Raw genomic sequence first — 20,901 nt, 5'->3', positions numbered from 1 at the left:
TTAAATAATTACTAATACCTCTAGAATCTATTTCATTATAAAAAATTCAGCAAGTATACAGATTCTTTTTCAAATAACAAACCAACATGTATTAAATAGTTTTATTTCTTCAACCAACTAAAATATAAACTATGATTTTAGAAGAATCTGTATAGTCCCATGCACCAAAATATTTGTCTTAATTCATGATTTTGAAATTGTTTACTATTATTACCCATGTTTTTTATTGTAAGGCTTTGATCTTGGAAATCTTAAGAGAGAAACACTTTTAAGTTGAAAACTATAACCTACATTTTAGTAAGTAAAAGGAAATGAGTAAACAATATTTATACCCCATCTGCCCTCAAGTCCTTATTGTGAGTAAAGGACTTAAGGACAGTTAAGGACTTTAGGACAGTAAAGAACTTTAGTGAGTAAAGGACCTGAGGGTAGTTAGGGTATAAATATTTTTTGGAGATTTCTGAAGACATTGGGGCTGTAGAAAGCAAATGGGAGAAGAATACCACTTAGGTAGGCAAAAATGAAAAGGGATTTAAAAAAACGGTAATATCACCTGCTCAGAAATAAAATTAACTTTTAACAAAATTAATAAAGCCTTGGATTCAGGAATCTTCATGTTCACAGGTCCTTTCCCAGGCCCTAGGATGGGCCCTAGCAATGAGCTCATGTATTGTTTTTATAAAATTTGCCCTCCATTTTGCACTCCCACTTTCCTTCACACTTCTCCCTGAGAGTAGGCATCATTGAAGTGATTTTGGCAATTTGGGGATCTTGCTAAAGGAAAAGTTATTAAAGAATGTATTTAGTTCACATTTAATAGGGTGTGTTTATGTGTTCTGTAGTCACATCGATGAATAGATGAGGTATTGCTAGCGTGTCTGGTGTTGGAATTGCTTCTAAAAGTATTCTGACTACCCCTGTGCTGACTCATCTGGCATTCATCAACATTTTGATACAAAGATATATGCCCAAAGAGGTAAATGTTTATTTAAATAATTCAAAGTGATGAAATACATTATTTTCACTGCAATTGAAAAAGACATTTTGGAGCATTTCACTTAAAACAACTGAAATATACAGACTTCTTATTTGGCAGTAATTTCAAATTTATTTATTAAAAAATTGAGAGAAAAATTGGTAAAAAACTAGTAGAATATAAAACAAATGCAATGCAGATGAATAATATCAATAGAAAGTATTTAATGATAAAGAACCAAATTGTTGACAAAACAAATTTCAGATCATATCAATGTCTTTAATTAAGCAAATATTTTAATTGCAGTTAATCGGCTCTAAGATTATTAATATTTTACAATCCAATTAATGAAGAATAATAAATTGTTTGAGCTCATTAGAAAAAGCCTGAAGTTTCTGGCTGACCTGACATTAGTTAGTGAAACCAATAAAGGAAGCATATAACTTGAAAGAAGGTATTAACAGTGGTGTACTGATACATGTTTAATAAGTGGCTCTCCAGGGAGAAAATAAGACTGGATTTGTAGTTTTTCCAATGCTGTAAATACTCCCACTACCACCAATTCAACCTACCGATATTATGTGACTGAACTAGAAAGTTGGGAAGAGATGCACACAATTAGTTCTTCTGAGTACAATTGGTATAAGTGGTTTCCATCCCATCAAATGCTATATTACAAGGAGGATATCAACTGTAAACTAGTTCATGAAGATTTTCCATTAATACTCGAGAGTAGTCAGTGCCCAGAGAAATGAAATTTTTTGAAATACTATAGTTCACATATGAAAGATGTAAGATTTTCTCAATCTGACAATAATCCTAAGTATACATATTATATACACATTGAGTTGTGAGGCCAAAAGAAATTTGTATGTTATCAATACAAATTTCAAATAATTTACTAGAGGACATATTGAATTAAGCTTTCAATCTTTTCATAAATGTATTAGTAATGGTCAAATGCAGCTAGAAAATATAAAGAAGAAAGAATATAAAGATGGATTAGGCAATTAAAAATTTCTTTTAAAGCTTGTGATGTAAATGCTGTTTATTAGCTACTTATAGTTTGCAATTTATTTTCTTTTTCATTCTAAACAAGTATTTGCTTTATCTCTAATTTGTATTCATAATCTATTTCCTTTTTTTTTTGTTAATGAATGAACGAACAATGTGAATGAATGAAAAGGTTGGACAGATGTCTTAGTGAGTTTGGGCTGCTGTAACTAAGTACTATAGGCTGGTGGCTTATAAACAACAGAAATTTATTTCTCATAATTCTGGAGGCTGGAAGTAGTAGATCAAAGTGGTATAGGTTGGGTTCTGGTGAGGATCCTCTTCCAGTTGCAGACTGCCAACTTCACATTATATTTTCATGTAGTAAAAAGAGGGCCAGAGTATTCTCCGGGGTCTCTTTTTATAATGGTATTCACCTACTTATAAGAGTTTCACCTTTATGACCTAGTTATCTCCCAAAGCCCCACCTCCTAATACCATCACCTTGGGGGTTAGAATTTCAACATATGAATTTTGGGAGCACACAAACATTCAGTCTATAACAATAAGTGAAGCAAAGCTTTTTAAAAAGCTTTCCAAAGTGCTTTATCAACTGGAATTAGTAGTTTCATAAATAAATAACCCATAATGTAATTACTAAAGTTGATTGCTCACTTTCGAAATTAAAAAAAAAATCTGTTTAATGGATAAAGGAGTCATCCATTAAAAGTACAAGATGAATTTAACCTGAAATAGAGTTGGCTGTTGTGATATAAATGATTAAATAATCTATATATTTAGCTAAATATGTGCTTCATGCATTTCTGTAAACCTTGTAAACCACACAAACTACTGTTAAGTAAACTGGGCAAAGGAAGTAACAACATTGCTCCCATCATTATGCCTTTTAAATGAATAGACAGGAATTTAGATCTAAAGCACAGGAAATCTATGCATTCAATATGTGGGAGGCAAACTTCATACACAGCACCCTAACCCAGATCAGTGTTTCTCAAATTTGCAGATTGAACTAATCCTTTTTTAGAGAAAAGGGCTTTCAAAAACTGATGTAGAGTCTTATGCTGATTCAAATTGTTTATTATGTATCATATCTTTTTTATAGCATTGCTTAAATATTTATAATTATAAAACTACATTTCAATTACTTACCACACAAAACTAATTAATGGCTTATACATTTTGTACAAGTATGAAACCTAAACAAGTAAATTTAAAATGTATATGGAAAAAAAATCAATGAAATTTTAGCAAGCATATTTTTGTGCCACCTCTCCCTGATTTAATACTTTCCTACTTTTTTCCAGCTTTCTGGAACAATGTCAAAAGTCATTCATTTGGGGGGAACTCATTCTCTACAAGCAAACTACAAAGGTAAGTGTACATGCTCAGTTCCTATATCCAAAGTAAAAAAAGCTTCCCAAAGAAAGAAGAAGAAGAATGTAGAAAACACCAGTCAAAAAGGAAAATGTATTAGGGCGCTGGGCTAAAGAGTTAAAATTATCTGAATATATTTCTGTTCAAAAAATGTGCATTTCTACATGTTTTCTTGTCAATAGATAAGAGACCACTGTGAATCAAGTGCATGAGAGACAGGCAGCATGACCACTCTTTAGCCATGACAATAGGCACAATCCACTGGCTTTGAAGAAAAGGCCAGCCATAACCATGGCTCTTTTATATTCATGATTCAACTCTAGGAATACTGTATATAGACAGTCAAATTGCTCACCTATTCTCAAATACATTCAGATTACAGCCCCCAGTGTGAAGTTACTAAGAAATCCAGATGAAAATGACTGTTAGTCATCAGTGGAGCCTTCACACTTCATTCAGAGTCCAAGTGGAACATGATTTATGAATCGCAGTATATTGTAAAGCACCCAATGATGGTACTCTACATAATGACTGAATGATCAACAATGCAGATGCTTCCTGTAGCAGGAGAGGGCATCCATGGTGTGTGCCACTCAACTCATTAGACTCCAGTGCATGTTCCCCTTTGAAAACAAAGTCAGGTTTAGCTCATTGTGAAACATTTGAAAGATTATATCAAAAAAGGAAAGTAAATGCTGTGTTGAACTAATACACAGAACTGTTCTTTTCCAGCCTTTGCGTGAAGACAGAGGATATCTGGAATTTGATTGTATTTCTCACACTGTCTAGTGCTAATTACAAGTAAGTAATCAATAAGTAAAGTACTTACAATCAATAAGTAAAGAATACCGCAGGCCTCTTAAGGGTTGTGAAACCGGAGGGAGAAACCACAGAGGGAAACTGTTTCACAGTCAAAGCTGAATCAAGTTTAAGTATTCGTACCTGTCTGCTTTCTAAGGGCTCCTAAAAAAGATCTCTCCCTGATCATTCCAAAATGTATTATTATAGGATATGCATTATTAGCATTAACAAAAGACAAGTTTGTCTTTTCTGTCTTGTGTATGCACACCAAATGGCAGCATGCTGGAGCTGGCTAACACTAGCTTACAGAAGCTGATAGTGCACATCTCTCCCCATCTTTGTGCTCAGTAAATCACACTGATGTTTGAAACTGATGACGGGAAAAGTATTTCTACCAAATCAATCAGCAAACACTACAAATCAGGGATTTCTCCTCAAAATCCTGACCTCCACTAAGAGCAGGTTGTTAAATGTTTATTAACACCGCACCGCGCCTCCGAAGTGTGTGTATTCCTTGTGCTACTCGTCACACAATGTGCCAAAAACAGGGGACAAAACAGTGAACCAGGTAGAGATATTTCTGTTCTCATATCTCTTAATGGTTTTATGAAGTTGTGTTGCTTCATTTCTACCATATCCCATATTTCTACTTGTGAATGTTCTACCCATTCTTTAAGCCATCTCTATTATACATGATATTAGTGTCTCCCTTAGCTATATATCTCAAAGCAGACAAGTTTTATATATTTTTGCAAGGTTTGCTTAGCATGATGTACACTGTGGATGGCAAGAGTAGAGAGGTAGGGAAACTCTCAAAATGTTGGAATTGATTAAGAGGAATGCTTGTAATATTTCAACAGAATGGTGGTGCTTCATGCATTTTTCCACAGGATCTCCTCTTATATCTGCAAGGTTAGGAAAAGAAGTATAAACAGAGGATCCCAGTGTGGACCTCCCTTTCCTCTTTCCTCCCTCCTAATCTGCAACTGTGAAGGGCCTCATGCATGAGTGGAGTAGGGTGGCCAACCCTCCCACTTCGCGTGGTATTAAGGGGTTTTGCAGGACCTAGGACTTGAATGTTAAAACTGGTACAGACCCGGACAAACCAGGATTGCTCAAGCTTTGGATTAAAGAAAGAAACTTATGTAGACAGGCCCCCACAGCAAAACAGCATCTGCTGGTCAGATAATTCTAGCATTTTGGCAACATTAGACAGGTGGGAGATCAGACAAGTGGAAGTGAGTGTGTCGTGGCACATAAACTCTGGGCGTCTTCCTTTTGCCTCACAAACACCTCTCCCTGAGGCGCGATCATAGATTCAGAGCATGTAGTAGTATAAAAAAGATACTAACTTGTATATAAAGTCAAATATTTTAAAGTATGTTCAAGTTATAGTGTGTTTTCTGCAGTATTGCGAAGTCTTCCTTTCTGATCTCCTTGCATACCTTTTTTGGGCTGGTTTCAGTCTATTCACCATACCATAACCAGAGTGATGAAACCTAAGTAAAGCTCTTTAATGGCCTCACATTAAAGATCAGGATCCCTAACTTGGTAAAATGGGCCCTGTATGAAAGCATGACCCCTTCTCTCTCACACATACACACACTCTGGGCTCATGTTATGTGACTCATTTTCTCACTCACAGTCACATTGGCCTGACTTTAAGTTCCTTAAAATGTTCCATATTTCTGCCTGCTTCAGGCCTTTTATACATCAGACCCCATGTGCCATGGTCACTACATGAAATTTCTTTTCTGATAAAGATTTTCCTGTCTATTCCTCAGTCTGGATCAAGGTCTCATCCCCAGCCTCATCCCACAGTCTCAGGGCTTACTTTGCTTTTCCTTTTTGGCACATTTTACACTTGGTAATATGATGATATATGAGAAGTATCTATATCCTCTCCTAGGCTTGTAAGCTTGGTGAGAGCAACATGGTATTAGCTACTTTATCTCAATATGTTAAACAGGAACTAGTTGAGAAAAAGGGGAAAGAAGAAATGAAGGAAGAAAAGGGAAGTGAGAAAGCTTTCTTAAAGGTCAGAAAGTTTTCTACATTGGGAGATTTAATTGTTTTATCTTTAGTATTTTGTAAAAATCCACTCACTTTAAGGGCAGGAGTTATTTTTCTCCCTTAAAACAAAGAGTATTGACAGAATATATTCACATTGGGGGGATTTTGTTCCATGATGTAATGGATTTGTGAAACAACATTAAAACAAAAAAGAAAACTAGAAAAATGCAAGTAGGGTTTGTAAACTATTAATTTCTTTTCCTCTCTCTTCTTCCTCCTTTCCTACACTCTGATCCCTGTCATAATATTTTTACAAACTCTGAGAAGAAAAAAAGTTTAAATTTATTCTCAGGGGCAAAAGATTACTAAAACACAAACTGTTACTCTTTTATATAGTTTCAGCAGCTTTAACATTTGAAAATGCAAATAGCCTTAAGTTAAAAAAAATCTAGTTGGTGTTTCAATTTTGTATATATCATTTTGATAATAAAATCATTTCTTTAGGCCAAATAAAGAAAAAACAAAGTTTCATGTTTATAAAACAATTGCCAAGCTACAGATACAACAGATATCTTCTCTTTATCCCTCTCTCTTCTCTTCCTCTCATCTCTTCCTGAGTCTCATCAAAGCACTCATGCCAAGAAACCACTTTATCCAGGGAAGGTGGCCACATAACCCAAGAAACAGCAATTGATCTACAAATGCTGACAGTGAGATACAAGCTCTGGAAAATGAACTGACCAAACTGGAAACAGCATGTTGAATAACTGGAAGGATTTTTCCTCTCAAATTCTAGGATTTCTTTTTTTCTTTTTCTTTAGACAGGGTCTCCCTCTGTCACTCAAGCTGGAGTGCAGTGGTGCTATCTCAGCTCACTGCAGTTTCTGCCTGCAGGGCCCAGGCGATCCTCCCACCTCAGCCTCCTGAGTAGCTGGGACTACAAGCATGTGCCACCATGCCCAGCTATTTGATATATATATATTTTTTTTTTTGTAGAGACAGCATTTCACTATATTGCCCAGGCTGGCCTCGAACTCCTGAGCTCAAGAGATTCTCCTGCCTGGAAATAACCTCTTTTATACTTAAAGCAAAGCTGAAAGCAAGAGTTCCTAGCCCAAGATGGCTAGCAGAAAGGAAGCAGCAGCTGTGCAGTTGGGGCGGGGCCCAATTCCTTCCCTGGCCGCCAGGGGGAGTCTACCCACAGCTGACTCTGCTCACCTTAAGCGCGCCACTTGGCGCAGGCGCTGAGGCGCCAGACGTCCCTGCGTCTCTGGTTGGGACGTCCTGAAAGAGAGTCGTCACATCCTCCTCAGGACTCTATGGTTCCGGCCTCAGGACTCTATGGTTCCCGCGAGGGACGAGGGGCAACGTATATAAATGCGCGCAGGCGTAGTTAAGAGAGCGCATTTTGACTTCGAGGCACCGCCGACGTTACTGTGTCGCCATGGGGCGCCGTCCAGCTCGCTGTTACCGGTATTGTAAGAACAAGCCGTACCCAAAATCTCGTTTCTGCCGAGGGGTTCCTGATGCCAAGATCCGCATCTTTGACCTGGGTAGAAAGAAGGCAAAAGTGGATGAGTTCCCACTCGGTGGCCACATGGTGTCTGATGAATATGAGCAGCTGTCTTCTGAAGCCCTGGAGGCCGCCCGTATTTGTGCCAACAAATACATGGTGAAAAGTTGTGGCAGAGATGGCTTTCACATGCGAGTGCGGCTCCATCCCTTCCATGTCATCCGCATCAACAAGATGTTGTCCTGTGCTGGGGCTGACAGGCTCCAGACAGGTATGCGAGGTGCCTTTGGAAAACCCCAGGGTACTGTAGCCCGGGTCCACATTGGTCAAGTCATCATGTCCATCCGCACCAAGCTTCAGAACGAGGAGCATGTGATTGAAGCCTTGCGCAGGGCCAAGTTCAAGTTCCCTGGACGCCAGAAGATTCATATCTCCAAGAAGTGGGGCTTCACGAAGTTTAATGCTGACGAATTTGAAGACATGGTGGCCAAGAAGTGCCTCATCCCTGATGGTTGTGGAGTCAAGTACGTTCCCAGTCATGGCCCCTTGGACAAGTGGCGGGTTCTGCACTCATGAAGGTTTTGGCAGTACTGTCTCCTTGGGCCATGCTGGTCTGACTTATGCTTACTAATAAATTCTGTTTACTGGCAAAAAATAACTCCTTATTAAGTTTTAATATTTTTTAAATATCCAATGTTTTAGAATATAGACTACTAGAGAATTTTTTTCTATTTATTCAGTTTTAATGGCAAATGTTACCTTCCTTGCTTCAGTAAAACTATACAATTTATAGAGAAAGCTGTTTTAAGCAAACACTTTAAATTTAGGAGAGTATAGAGCAATATGTTGAAAGTTTTGTTTGTAGTAAAGTCATAAGTTATGCAGCTATCATTCCTTGAATAAAAAATAGATTTGAGTGAAAAAATTTGTTTATAGAATATAAACTAAACAGTAGCGATGAAAATAATAGTAGGCATTAGTGATATTTCACCCACAGCCTCTTTGGAAGTAATTTATTTCTAAACTTGGTTGCCTTATGTTTTTCTATAAATTTCTGTACATTGTTTTTAGAATTACCTTACACGTCTGATTATCAGCCTTAGGACAATTGAGTATCACTCTGAAAGGCTTTTCCAGACGAACTTTACATTGTCTCACAGTCAAGAGATAACAGTCTAATCTTTTTTTCATCATAGAAAGGTCATAGGTGACAACAGAGTTCATATTACTTGTATCTGGGCTCCAGTAGAACCAAAAGAAGAGAGAAAATGACACTAAATCGGTTATCTGTGCTATAAAAGGACCCTAAAGAGAGTTTGCAATTGTAGGTGCTTGCCCTGAATTAGAGTTACGTTGATGACACAGGTGCTTTTTGTTTTATTTTTGAAACTACATAAGCTAAAATTCCTGAGTTTGTACTGCATTAAAAAAAATTCTTGTTCTTTACAATTGACTTAGCCTTTTGAATCTCAATCCTGCTAACAGTGCCTTCAGTGTTTTTAGACTAACGGTTCTTTTTCAAAGTCAACACATTTAATGAAAACAACAAAAGAAATAGTAAGAAACACTACTATTTAATTTTCATTTATTTAAAGAAATGCTATGTCAGTCTTAACATATTGTATCTGGCTGGATATTTATTTTAGGCCCTTGCTATAAGATATTTCCTATTTGTATATATTTAAGCTATGTTGCTATTTTAAGACGTTTTTCATGTTTGCGTTTTACCACACTTTCAAAAACGAAAATTCAACCTCTAAATAATAATAATAATCAAAAGAGAAAGGCAATACAAAACACAATAAAATCAGCAACCCCTTAGCTTCTAGTACAACCATGGCCCAGCTTTGAAAATATTTTCCATCTTCATTATTTCCCTTTCTCTTTGGTCTTAAACCTCTCAAAACATCTTGACCTTCAAACTTGGAACTCTGCACTCAACTAAATATATAGGGAGAGAGGTTAAGTATAAGCTCATGAACTTCCTTGCCCTAAGAGATTGGTAACAGTAATTGTTTATGCATATAGATATGGGAGTGAAGAGGAAATGAATGATTAAGAATTAATGCATTAAAAACTGGTAGGTAGCTGTCAATAAATTTTTTATTTGAATTTTCCCACAGTTTCACGTTATAAAGATTATATATAAATTCTTTTTTTAAACGTTGACATACAAGCACTTTTACTTGTTTTTGTTAAAAATCCTTCCTACTAATTTTCCCCAAGTCATTATTTTGTTTTTTCAGCATTTTCTTATTTTAGGGTCATTCTAATTATTTAAAAAAAAAATAGTAAGACAATTGGGCTGAAGGATCATTTAATTATAATTTTGCAGAGTTCGTTATTTTAAAATTTCTGCTCAAAATAGAAAATTGCATTTGGGAACATATTTCTGTTCATCTACTGCTGCAATAAAATGAACTGTTTGCTCGTTTTAAATAAAAGAATACAAGTGTAGTTAATGAAATTCCAGCAAATACTGCCCAATGAAACTTTTTTATTTAATTGATGAAATATATAGGTTTTAATGGAAAATACTGACTGAATAAGATGAAGAAAACTTCAGTAGGACTATGTAGTGTATCAATTTAGTTTCGAAAAGCACATTTCATAAATGATTATTATATAATCCATCATTTCTACTCCCTCAAAATATGCAACTGTATTAAGCATATTTTGCTTGAAAATCTTTAATTTTTTTTTTTTTTTTTTTTTTTTGAGACGGAGTCTTGCTCTGTCACCCAGCCTGGAGGGCAGTGGCGCGATCTCCGCTCACTGCAAGCTCCGCTTCCTGGGTTCACGCCATTCTCCTGCCTCAGCCTCCCGAGTAGCTGGGACTACAGGCGCCCGCCACCACGCCCGGCTAATTTTTTTTTTGTATTTTTAGTAGAGACGGGGTTTCACCATATTAGCCAGGATGGTCTTGATCTCCTGACCTTGTGATCCGCCCGCCTCGGCCTCCCAAAGTGCTGGGATTACAGGCGTGAGCCACCGCGCCCGGCCGAAAATCTTTAATTTTTAAAAAATGTACATTAGCTCTTCCATGAATTGGCTGTCACTAATACTGGCAAGCATTTTACTTCTGCTTTAGCAGCCTTGTACTGCCTACCGTTACATAATTTAAGTAGAGCTTTCTGGTTCTCATAATGTTACTATTAATCTAAGGATTGAGCTAAGACATCATTTCACCTCGTTCATCTTCCTGGCTTTATATTAATGCCCTTTTGTTTTTGTTTGTATTTTAGTGTAATGACTTCATTTTCATAAAAATACCTATGTATTCTTTTTTAACAGCAAATTAGGTAAAAAATAGTAAAGTCAAAATAATTAAATTATACCTGCAATAATAATTCAAAATGAGGTAATTGTCACTTAACAATAGATAAGAAAAGCTGGTGTCAGGATGATTGGATTTGAATCTCAGCCTTTTTACTTTCTTGGGCAAATTACTAAGTATCGCCATTCTTAGTAATTTTGCCTTCTATAAAGTGAGGTGAAGACACTTTAGTTATAGGATTGTTTTGGGGATTAAATGAGATAATGCATTGAGAAATTGATTTTTATTATTATGATAATTATTTATTTTTTTGAGACAGGGTCTTACTCTTTCACCCAGGCTAGAGTGCAGTGGTGTGATCATGGCTTACTGTAGCTTCAACCTTCCCAGGCTTAGGTGATCCTCCCATCTCAGCATCCCAAGTAGCTGGGACTGCAGGCATGCAACACCATGCTCAGATAATGTTTTTGTATTTTTTGTAGAAATGGGATTTTTTCATGATGCCCAGGCTGATCTCAAGCTCCTGGGCTCAAGCAGTCTGCCCAGCTCAGCCTCCCAAAGTGCTAGGATTATAGGTGTGAGCCACTGTACCCGGTAGAGAAATTGAACAGTATTGTAATTTGCACATATTCATTATACAACATTGATATTCAGTTAATATTGATGTTATTATTATTACATTTGCTCTTGCTTCACTCCTCATCTCCTAATTTTTGGTGCTTGTATTACTATTTTTTCTTGATTTATAACCTTAATATTCTGTTTTGCAATCATTATTGCTTCCAGTTATATACTCTTGGTTCTAGATTTAATTGGATTCAATATTCTGTTTCAAGTTTTTTTTTAATCTTTAGTTTTGTAATTCCCAGTTTCATGTCATTGTATTTTGTCATCTCTTTGTGGAATTCTTTTGAAAAAATTTATGCTTTACTGATTATCCTCTACATATGACTCCCTTGTGGGGATTAGCTTACTTTCCTGTCCCCCAACTGGATTTTTTATCTACTTTAACCACTTGTTAAATTCAATATTATTTTTCTTTCTTCTCATTTTTATTTTCCAAAGATGATTATATGGCTATCATGTCATTATTTTTATATGGCTTATATGTGATGTAGACTGTTCTGCTCAGACATTCTATTTACTCGGAAAGGTTGTGGATGCATTTCTCTTGTCACTCTTTCACAAAACTTTTGACTTTTTTCTGTTCATCTAGACTTCTCTCTGGGTGTTACTTTTCCATGGCCTTGGGATGAGAGGGTGGGAAAAAGAAAGAACTTGAAGGTTTAAGTATACCCTTTGATGCTGGCTAGATTCCACTTCTTCTGAGATCCATTAGATATCCTACACCAAAGCACACTCCAGTCAGCCAGGTACACAGTCCACTCTCCAGCTGTGGCATATTCACCTTTGGCCTGCTATGATTCAGTGCACAACCCTGGAAAATGGCAAGCCCTATTGCTGTGCTTCTTTGGTGTTGGTGTGGGCTCCACTTGTCAATGGATTTTTCTACAAATTTTCCTTGTGTAAGTCTATGTTAAGTATGTTTCTCTACATATTAAGGCATTATTGAAACATATTTTTTTTAAGTTCATGTTTCTTTTCAGAAATTTTTTATTCTAAGAAGTTGGAAAGTTCTGAAAAGGTATATTCTATAAATGATTTTTATATAACTCATGATTTCCTGCAATCTCTCAAAATATGGAATTACACTACATGTATTTAGCCAGAAATCTTTAATTTAAAAAAGCAAAATCTGGTTCTGACTTACCACATGAGACTACTGCCTTCATTTTTATATCTCCTCCTAAATTTATGACATATATAACCCTTTCCTTGTCTGCCTTTGGCTATATTTATTTTATCACATTTTATTCATTTCATTAGGTATTGGGGACAGAAATAATCTGATCATGTTTTTCCTCAGGTTATTTACCCAGAATTTTTTTTTAATGTCGGACTAAATAATTATCTACTTTTGGAGACTTTAATATTTCAGACAACTCATATAAAAACTTACTTTCCATGTATGTAACAACTTCCAGTTATTTTTTATCGTTATGGCTCTCAAATAATTATACCTAAAATACTTTGAGTATCAAAATGGTAAACTTTAAATATCAATTCCAAAAAGATCAATTTTGTGTTTGTGTCCATACAGAATCTTAACAACTCTCATTATGTTGTAAATAATAAGCTAATTAATTAGTTTTATATATTTATATAAATTAAATAGACGAGAGTTACTGATTAAGAGATATTTTTGTGCTTCACATATTTAAAGAACAAGACCATATGTACAGTAGAAAATGTATTTTGAGGACCATATTATTAGACACTTCAAGGGTCCTATTCATGAAATTTCCTTTTGTCCTAAGTTTACTGGTCACTGATAAATAGAAATATATGAGGTTGAGGAAGAGGACAGAATGTGTTGGGCAAATGGAGTCTTCTCAAAGGAGTAACTGTTCCATCTGCTTTCAGAGAGGGACAGGACATTGCAATGACAGGAAATGGTGTTTTCTTTTGCCCAAATGTTACGTCACTAAACTGAGACTTAATGGTGATGGTGGAGACAGAAGAGATGGCGGAACTGATGTAGAGATTGTCAGGAAACAGCCCTTATGTTCAGTCTCTGATATAATAAGGATAAGACTTACATTTCCTGTGAGTGTGGGGCCATTATGGTGTTTTAAATATAAGCAATATTGTATGTTCTTTGCCCTATTCTTCAAAAGCATTGTTTATTGGGAGGGGGAAATATGGCAGCAAGAGGCTGTATGGGGGACTTACTCTATTGTTGCAGCTGCAGGCAGCAAGAAAAGAGCCACTGTGCCTCAGCTAGATTTCCTTTGAGAGAATTGAATAGGGAGAGAAACTCCAGTATCCTCTACAAAACTGACAAATAGACCCTATAAAAGACTCAGCACTTGGCCACCAAATATATGGAGAACCAAAGGCATGTGTCTTTATAGTAGAATGATTTATAATCCTTTGGGTATATACTCAGTAATGGGATTGCTGGGTTAAATGATATTTCTGGTTCTAGATCCTTGAGGAATCGCCACACTGTCTTTCACAATGGTTGAACTAATTTACACTCCCATCAACAGTGTGAAAGCATTCCTATTTCTCCACATCCTCTTCAGCATCTGTTGTTTCCTGACTTTTTAATGGTCACCAGCACTTGGCCACCAAATATATGGAGAACCAAGAGTAGTATAAAGAGAACCAGTAACAGCTGAAAGAGAACATGTCTGTCGTGACTTGAAGTCATTTAACAACGAGAATATTGTCTATGTTTACATTCTGTTATCAATAATCTAAATCAAGGGATGGGGGAGAAAAAGAGAGGAATAAGAGAGCATAATTTCCTCTTTCCTGATCTAAGTAGCTGGAACTACTAGTCTATGCTACACTAATGGAACAGATGAGAGATTTTAAAAGGATAAGTAACAATTTTCATAATTGGCAGTGATTGAAAAGTTATGGAAAGAGGCTTAGATATCATTAAGGAAATGTGCTACTTACAAAGTAATAGAACTTCAATGGAGCACAGTTGGTTGTTCCTGAAAAATAAAAATTTCGTGTAATGTACACTTCAGTATTTCTCCTGTCAAACCAGTTACATAACCATTTTGATGAAAAATTTCCACTAAGCGTGCTGGCAAATGTCCAAATTACTAAAACAGCATGAAACCATTGAAATTTCACCAGACAAAAGTAAAACCTCATTCAACACACAGAAAACTTCTATACCGCTTCCTAAATACACTTTTAACTGTGGTCCCTCTACCTCTCTCACTTGTATAAATTGCCTTGAATATAAGCAAACTTTAAATTATCGTCACTGAAACGCATGTTCATGTGGCCGTAGTCAAATTTTATCTCTCAGCTACCTACCTACCTGCCTACTTACTACCTATCTATAGATCTCTTAAATTTCTCATAAATAATGCCTATCAGTCTTATCTTCCATCTACTTAATAGGTATTTGATTTATACATACAATGGACTGCTTCAATTGATGCCAATACTCTGCAATTGTAAGCCATCCATTTTTGAAACAAAACTGCCAAAAATGCCATTAATAAAATGCCATTAATAAAAATGCCATTTTCATAGTTGTGTATATACATTTTTCAAATGATAATTTTAAGTTGTCCAAATATAATAGTCTACAAGGTCAAAACCACAGTATCTAAAAGCAAGATTGAGATTTTTAAAAGTTTTATTCATAAGTACAGTTCATGACATATTTGTAGCAAATACCATTAGGATTTATTGATAGAACTACTGAATTTGAAGTCCATGGACCCTTGAACTTGAGAAAATATTTTATAACATAACTGATTTGAAAAAGCCTCTGTCCTAAGATCCAGTAATAACACTATAGATAACTATTATAGAAAAGCTTTCAATTACATGAACCAGAAGATATATGCAAAGAGCTTTCGTAGCATTGTTCATAGTAGCAAACACTTTTTATCCTTAATTTACATAAAGAGGACAATGAATATATCTATTGTGGTATATTCACAATGGGAGCTACTATACACAGTGAGAATAAATGAATGACATCTACAGCTAAAACATGGATAATTCTCAGAAAATATTGAATGAAAAAAGAAAATAGGACTCTAAATAATATTATGCCATTTTTGTAAAGCTCAAAATGCAGCAAAACCAGAGGTAATACTGTGTTATGTGTAAATAAATATATGATAGATCTAGTTTTTAAAGGTAATGCTAACTATGAAAATTTAGGATAGTGGTTGCATGGGTGGGGCATAACATGGCAGGGGAGGAACAGGGATAGTCTATGGAGGGTACTGTATAATAACTTTTTATCTTTTAAAGTAAGTCCTTCCAGGTCTTTATTCATCAGTATGTCTGGACAATTCTTGGAACTTTTCCCTTCCAATGATTCTAAATTTGAAAGTCAGCTTGTGAAATTACCATTGTCAGTTGCCTTCAAAAACTTTACTAAAGTAAATTTATAAAGTTAAAAATATATTACTTGATATTTTATAATTAATTTATTATGGAGGTCTTGAGAGATGTAAATTTATTATTTGTTGTTTATATTTTTATTCCTATTTCATAGTAGTTTGTGTTGTTTTGTTTTTGTGGGCCTATACTTTGCTTAACTTATCCTCTTGTATACCAAGATCTGTGTTGGGTACTTTTTGCTCATGTTTCTTTCCTCTTTCTTTAATTCTTACATTTTTTTCCACCAGAGAAAATTTGTAGTTGATTCAGCCTGTTCCCTAGGATGCTACCATCCTGAAACCAATTTCTCTTGTCATGAGAGATAAAAAAAATGTGTGGTTCTCAGGTTGAGCTTTCTGACTTTGCTATGCCCTCAGGTTTTGTAATTGTGTGTCCCTGATAAATCCACCACCTTACATGTATTAACCATTCTCAGCCCTCTGCTCCAGTTCCCACTCGTTTGTTTGCTTCTGGTTTAAGTCCTTGAAGGTTTATTTATTTTCTAGTGAACCTAGAAATGTATTAAAAGGTAAGACTGTAGGCAGAATCTAGTTATATCTAGATGGGAGGATCACTTACAGTACTTAGTCTTCCGTACTGCTAAGTGGAAGTTTTGTGATGTATTTTAATTTCATCTCTGTTTCTTGAAAAATACCATGATATCTACAACCTGGAATCATATTAATGTACACAGATTCATACATAGTATAGTCTTTCTAATTTTATTGTCTACTTCAAAAATTTAGACCCAAAATACTTTGTGCAAAGTGGTGGATTTTTATTGCCTTATCTTGCATAAGCTGGAAATATGTTCTCCAGAATTCTCTTCTCCATAGGGTGTTTAATCACAATAGAAATTGACATGAAATTTGGAAGGCAGAAATGAAGCAACAATTATAAAATCGGTGCAGGGCCCCAGGCATCTTTGTGATTCAGAAATGTTGTGGTTGATTTGTTAGCTCACTTAATTGAAGGATGCCAGCAATGTCATTTCCTCCAGCCCTTGCTACATCTTGCCGTTCACCTCTCTGAGACCCAGGCCAGGCATAAGTGCATCTTTGTGCCGAGTGGCACAGACTTCTATTCACAGACATTATTGGAGTTAGAGGCATTGACCTGGATTTTAGATTGTCGTCATGGGTTTCAATTTATCCTTGTGAGTTCCATTTGTCCTGTGAGATGCTGTTTATCTATACTTACCTTTACTTTGCATTTTTTTCTCCCAATTGCCTGCCTTACTTGCTTGTAGCAATTTCGTGCTCACCACCAGAAAAGAGGCAATCACATTCAGGAAATTTCATTGTCCCTGCTTGGTGACTGTATTAGTCTCTTCTCACACTGCTATAACGAAATACCTGAGATTGGGCAATTTATGAAGAAAAGAGGTTCAATTGACTTGCAGTTCTGCAGCCTGTACAGGAAGCATAGCAACATCTGCTTCTGGGGAGGCCTCAGGAAACTCACAATCATGGTGGAAGGCGAAGTGGGAGCAGGTCGTATTCATCACAGGAATAGGACCGAGAGAGAGGTGTCAGGTACTACATATTTTTAAACAACCAGATCTCATGAGTACTCACTCACTATGGCAACACAGTACGAAGGGGAAAATCTGCCCCCATGATCTAATTACCTCCTCCCAAGCCCCACCTCCAACATTGGGGATTACAATTCAACATGAGATTTGGGCAAGGACACAGATACAAACTATATTAGTAACTTAGGTGACTTTTATCTGATCACACTGTCTCCTTCAGTACTGTTATTTTCCCAGCCTTTCTCATTATTATGCAAGGCCTAACACACATAATAAATCTCTTATTCTATATTACACTTAATACTTCTTCCTTGAGCAAACTGTAACTGCTATGGCCATTATGATCATTAAAATCAGGAAAAGATCAAAACTTGGTTCAATGTAGCTATTGAAAAGAGCAAATGTATTGGAATATACAGACGTCTGTTTAGATCCTCATTCTGCTCACTACTTCTCATTTCATCTTGAGCAGTTTATTGAACCTTTCAGGGCCTCAGCTTCATAAACTTCTCAACTGTAAAACATTATAATGGTATTTATGAGAATATGCACTTAGCACAGCTTCTGGGACATAGTACACTCTGAATAATGTTGCATATTATTATTGTCCTTTCTTATTAAATATTAGAACTTAAAAAGAATTCACTATGTATTAAACTAATTTATATCATTACTCTGGTTATGAAATTGAAGTGGCACACATTTTGATTGCAGAATCTCCAAATCTCTTGATGTTATCTTTAAAATTCATGTTTAAAGTATACATTGTATGTATTCTTTTCTCAGTAAATCCAATAATGATGAAGTATTTGAATATAAGTATGAAAGGTATGTAATAGCCATCATATCCAGTATTGCCTGGCATATTAATTCTGATTTTGAACTGAAGACACAAAAAATTTATATGAAATAACTATTGTAGCTTACATAATTCTGCCATATTTTAACTTTTTTGTTGTTATACTTTGTTCTGGGATACATGTGCAGAATATCCAGGTTTGTTACATAGGTATACTTGTGCCATGGTGGTTCGCTGCACCCATCAACCCATCATCTACATCAGGTATTTCTCCTAGTGCTATCCCTCCCCTAGTCCCCCACCCCCTGACAGGCCCCAGTGTGTGATATTCCCCTCCCTGTGTCCATCTGTTCTCATTGGTCACCTCCCACTTATGAGTGAGAACATGTGGTGGTTGCTTTTCTGTTCCTGTATTAGTTTGCTGAGAATGATGGTTTCCAGCTTCATCCATGTCCCTGCAAGGATGAACTCATCCTTTTTTATGGCTGCATAGTATTCCATGGTGTATATGTGCCACATTTTCTGTACCCAGTCTAACATTGATGGGCATTTGGGTTGGTTCCAAGTCTTTGCTATTGTGAATATTACTGCAATAAACATATGTGTACATGTGTCTTTATAGTAGAATGATTAATAATCCTTTGGGTGTATACTCAATAATGGGTTTGCTGGGTCAAATGGTATTTCTGGTTCTAGATCCTTGAGGAATCACGACACTGTCTTTCACAATGGTTGAATTACTTTACACTCCCACCAACAGTGTGAAAGCATTCCTATTTCTCCACATACTCTTCAGCATCTGTCATTTCCTGACTTTTTAATGATTGTCATTCTAACTGGTGTGAGATGGTATCTCATTTAAAGTATATGTTAATATATTTTTAAGGCATTTAATGATAATTTTAATTCCACAAGTGATTATTTGTGTGTTATGAAAAATCATATTATAACATACTTATTTTTATAGCAGTATAAAAATACCAAGATAATTCATTATTTCCAACTTATAAGCTACAGCAGGATATTGATATATATTATATTAGATTTAATGAACCATGAAAAGCTATGATTAAGTTAGAGAAAGCATTTCAATTTGTCTTCATGTATCTTAAGAGATTTATAAAATGAAAGAATGGGCTGTATAAATTAAACTGATTTAAAAAACATTGGACTGCAACTGTAAGATCATAAAGAATGTTGACCTAGGCATTGTCTGTCATTTGGACTTAACCCTACCAATGTATCAAATTCTCACATAATTGCAAAGTCTTCATGCTAGATTCTGATTTGTGCATTTTTTTCTCTCTCTCTTCCCCCACTCACACATACACACACACATACATACACATATGTGTGTATACATTTTTTACATACACATATATTTGAGATGGTCAGTAACTCAGTACTCTAGCAAATTTGGAAGTTTCATATTCAATCCAGTCTAATCACAGGCCAATCAACTAAGGGTGGAAGAAAGGAAAAATCACTTCTGGAATGAAACCTTTTAAATATCAACTGTTTATCAAAAAATGTATTATATTTAAATAAGCATAATATTTTGAACTTTGAGAATAATAATTACTATATTGATCAGATGTTAATATATAAGAAGGAATTAGAAATTATGTATAGAATTCCTAGTTAAGCTTACTCTTTGCAAATTATAATAATGCCCCTAAAGAGTCTTACAACAAAAAGTAGTCTGAGTAATGCAGTAAGGCTCATTATTACCAACCACAAATTAATCCATTATTCATGTAAATATGGAGTAGCTGTGTGAAAGGTAAATAGTATACTTTCTTAATACAGATGTACTATTAGATAAAATATGTTCCACTTATTAGGTTAATCTGAATATTAAATAATTTTAGTGGGATGTGGCAGACTCAGACAGAATTGAACCTGGAAATGGAATCCCTGGAATGAAGTTCCAATTTCATCTGAAAGGTAGAACATTCTAACAAAAATATGGACACAGGTAACAATTGGCAAAGCTGTCATTACAATTGGTGCAATTTCAAGAAGTCTCTGGGCATCTTTACAAGCTGGTATGGAAACATGGAAATTCCAGTCCCAACGAGGTTGGTAATACCAGTGCAAGAAAAAAATCTCAATAACTATTAGGATAAAAGTCGTAAGAATTGGATTTAGCCACAGGATTTTAGTTTCAGATAAAAGTATTATCAAGACTAAGAAAATACTCTCAGGTCTGTAAAAGGGAAAATAGGCTTGTTATTAATATAGTGATTGATCAACTTACCAGAATTGGGATAAAAGATCAAAATGGGATTCATAATTATGGTATGTATAACTTTTTAAACTTGAGTAAAAGTGGTCCCTTTATTACTCCATGTGCTTTAGAGGATTCCATATATTGCATAGGTTTCTTGGTATACAAGTGCAAGAATCTCTTTAGGGAAAACATCACTGAATAGAATTGTAGGTGGTAGAATGCTTCAATTTTGCCAAATAACGCTAAATCCTTTTCTAAAAATACCATGTGAATTTATTCTTCTACCAGCAATGTATGAGATTCCCATTCCCAAATATTTCCCATAACTTTTTTTGACTTTTTATGCTTTTAAACAATTTTATAATGTTGAAATGA

At 35.4% G+C, this 20,901-nt stretch overlaps 1 protein-coding gene and 1 long non-coding RNA gene across 5 annotated transcripts in view; both read left to right on the top strand.

Moving 5' to 3' along the window:
* Window positions 1-20,901, top strand: part of LOC105370481 (uncharacterized) — a 64,726-nt gene that overhangs the window by 991 nt on the left and 42,834 nt on the right. For all 4 annotated transcript variants that reach the window (XR_001750753.1, XR_001750754.1, XR_001750755.1 and 1 more), the window contains exons 2-3: window positions 3,295-3,361; window positions 4,097-4,165. This is a non-coding gene — a long non-coding RNA (uncharacterized LOC105370481). The remainder of the gene's footprint in view (window positions 1-3,294; window positions 3,362-4,096; window positions 4,166-20,901) is intronic.
* Window positions 7,578-8,349, top strand: RPL10L (ribosomal protein L10 like). Its single transcript, NM_080746.3, has one exon. The coding sequence runs from the start codon at window positions 7,623-7,625 to the stop codon at window positions 8,265-8,267; it is 645 nt and encodes a 214-aa protein (NP_542784.1). The 5' UTR covers window positions 7,578-7,622; the 3' UTR covers window positions 8,268-8,349.

This window comes from Homo sapiens, chromosome 14 (genome assembly GCF_000001405.40).
Source record: "Homo sapiens chromosome 14, GRCh38.p14 Primary Assembly".
Classification (NCBI taxonomy): domain Eukaryota; kingdom Metazoa; phylum Chordata; class Mammalia; order Primates; family Hominidae; genus Homo; species Homo sapiens.
This window is presented reverse-complemented; position numbering and strand designations above follow the sequence as displayed.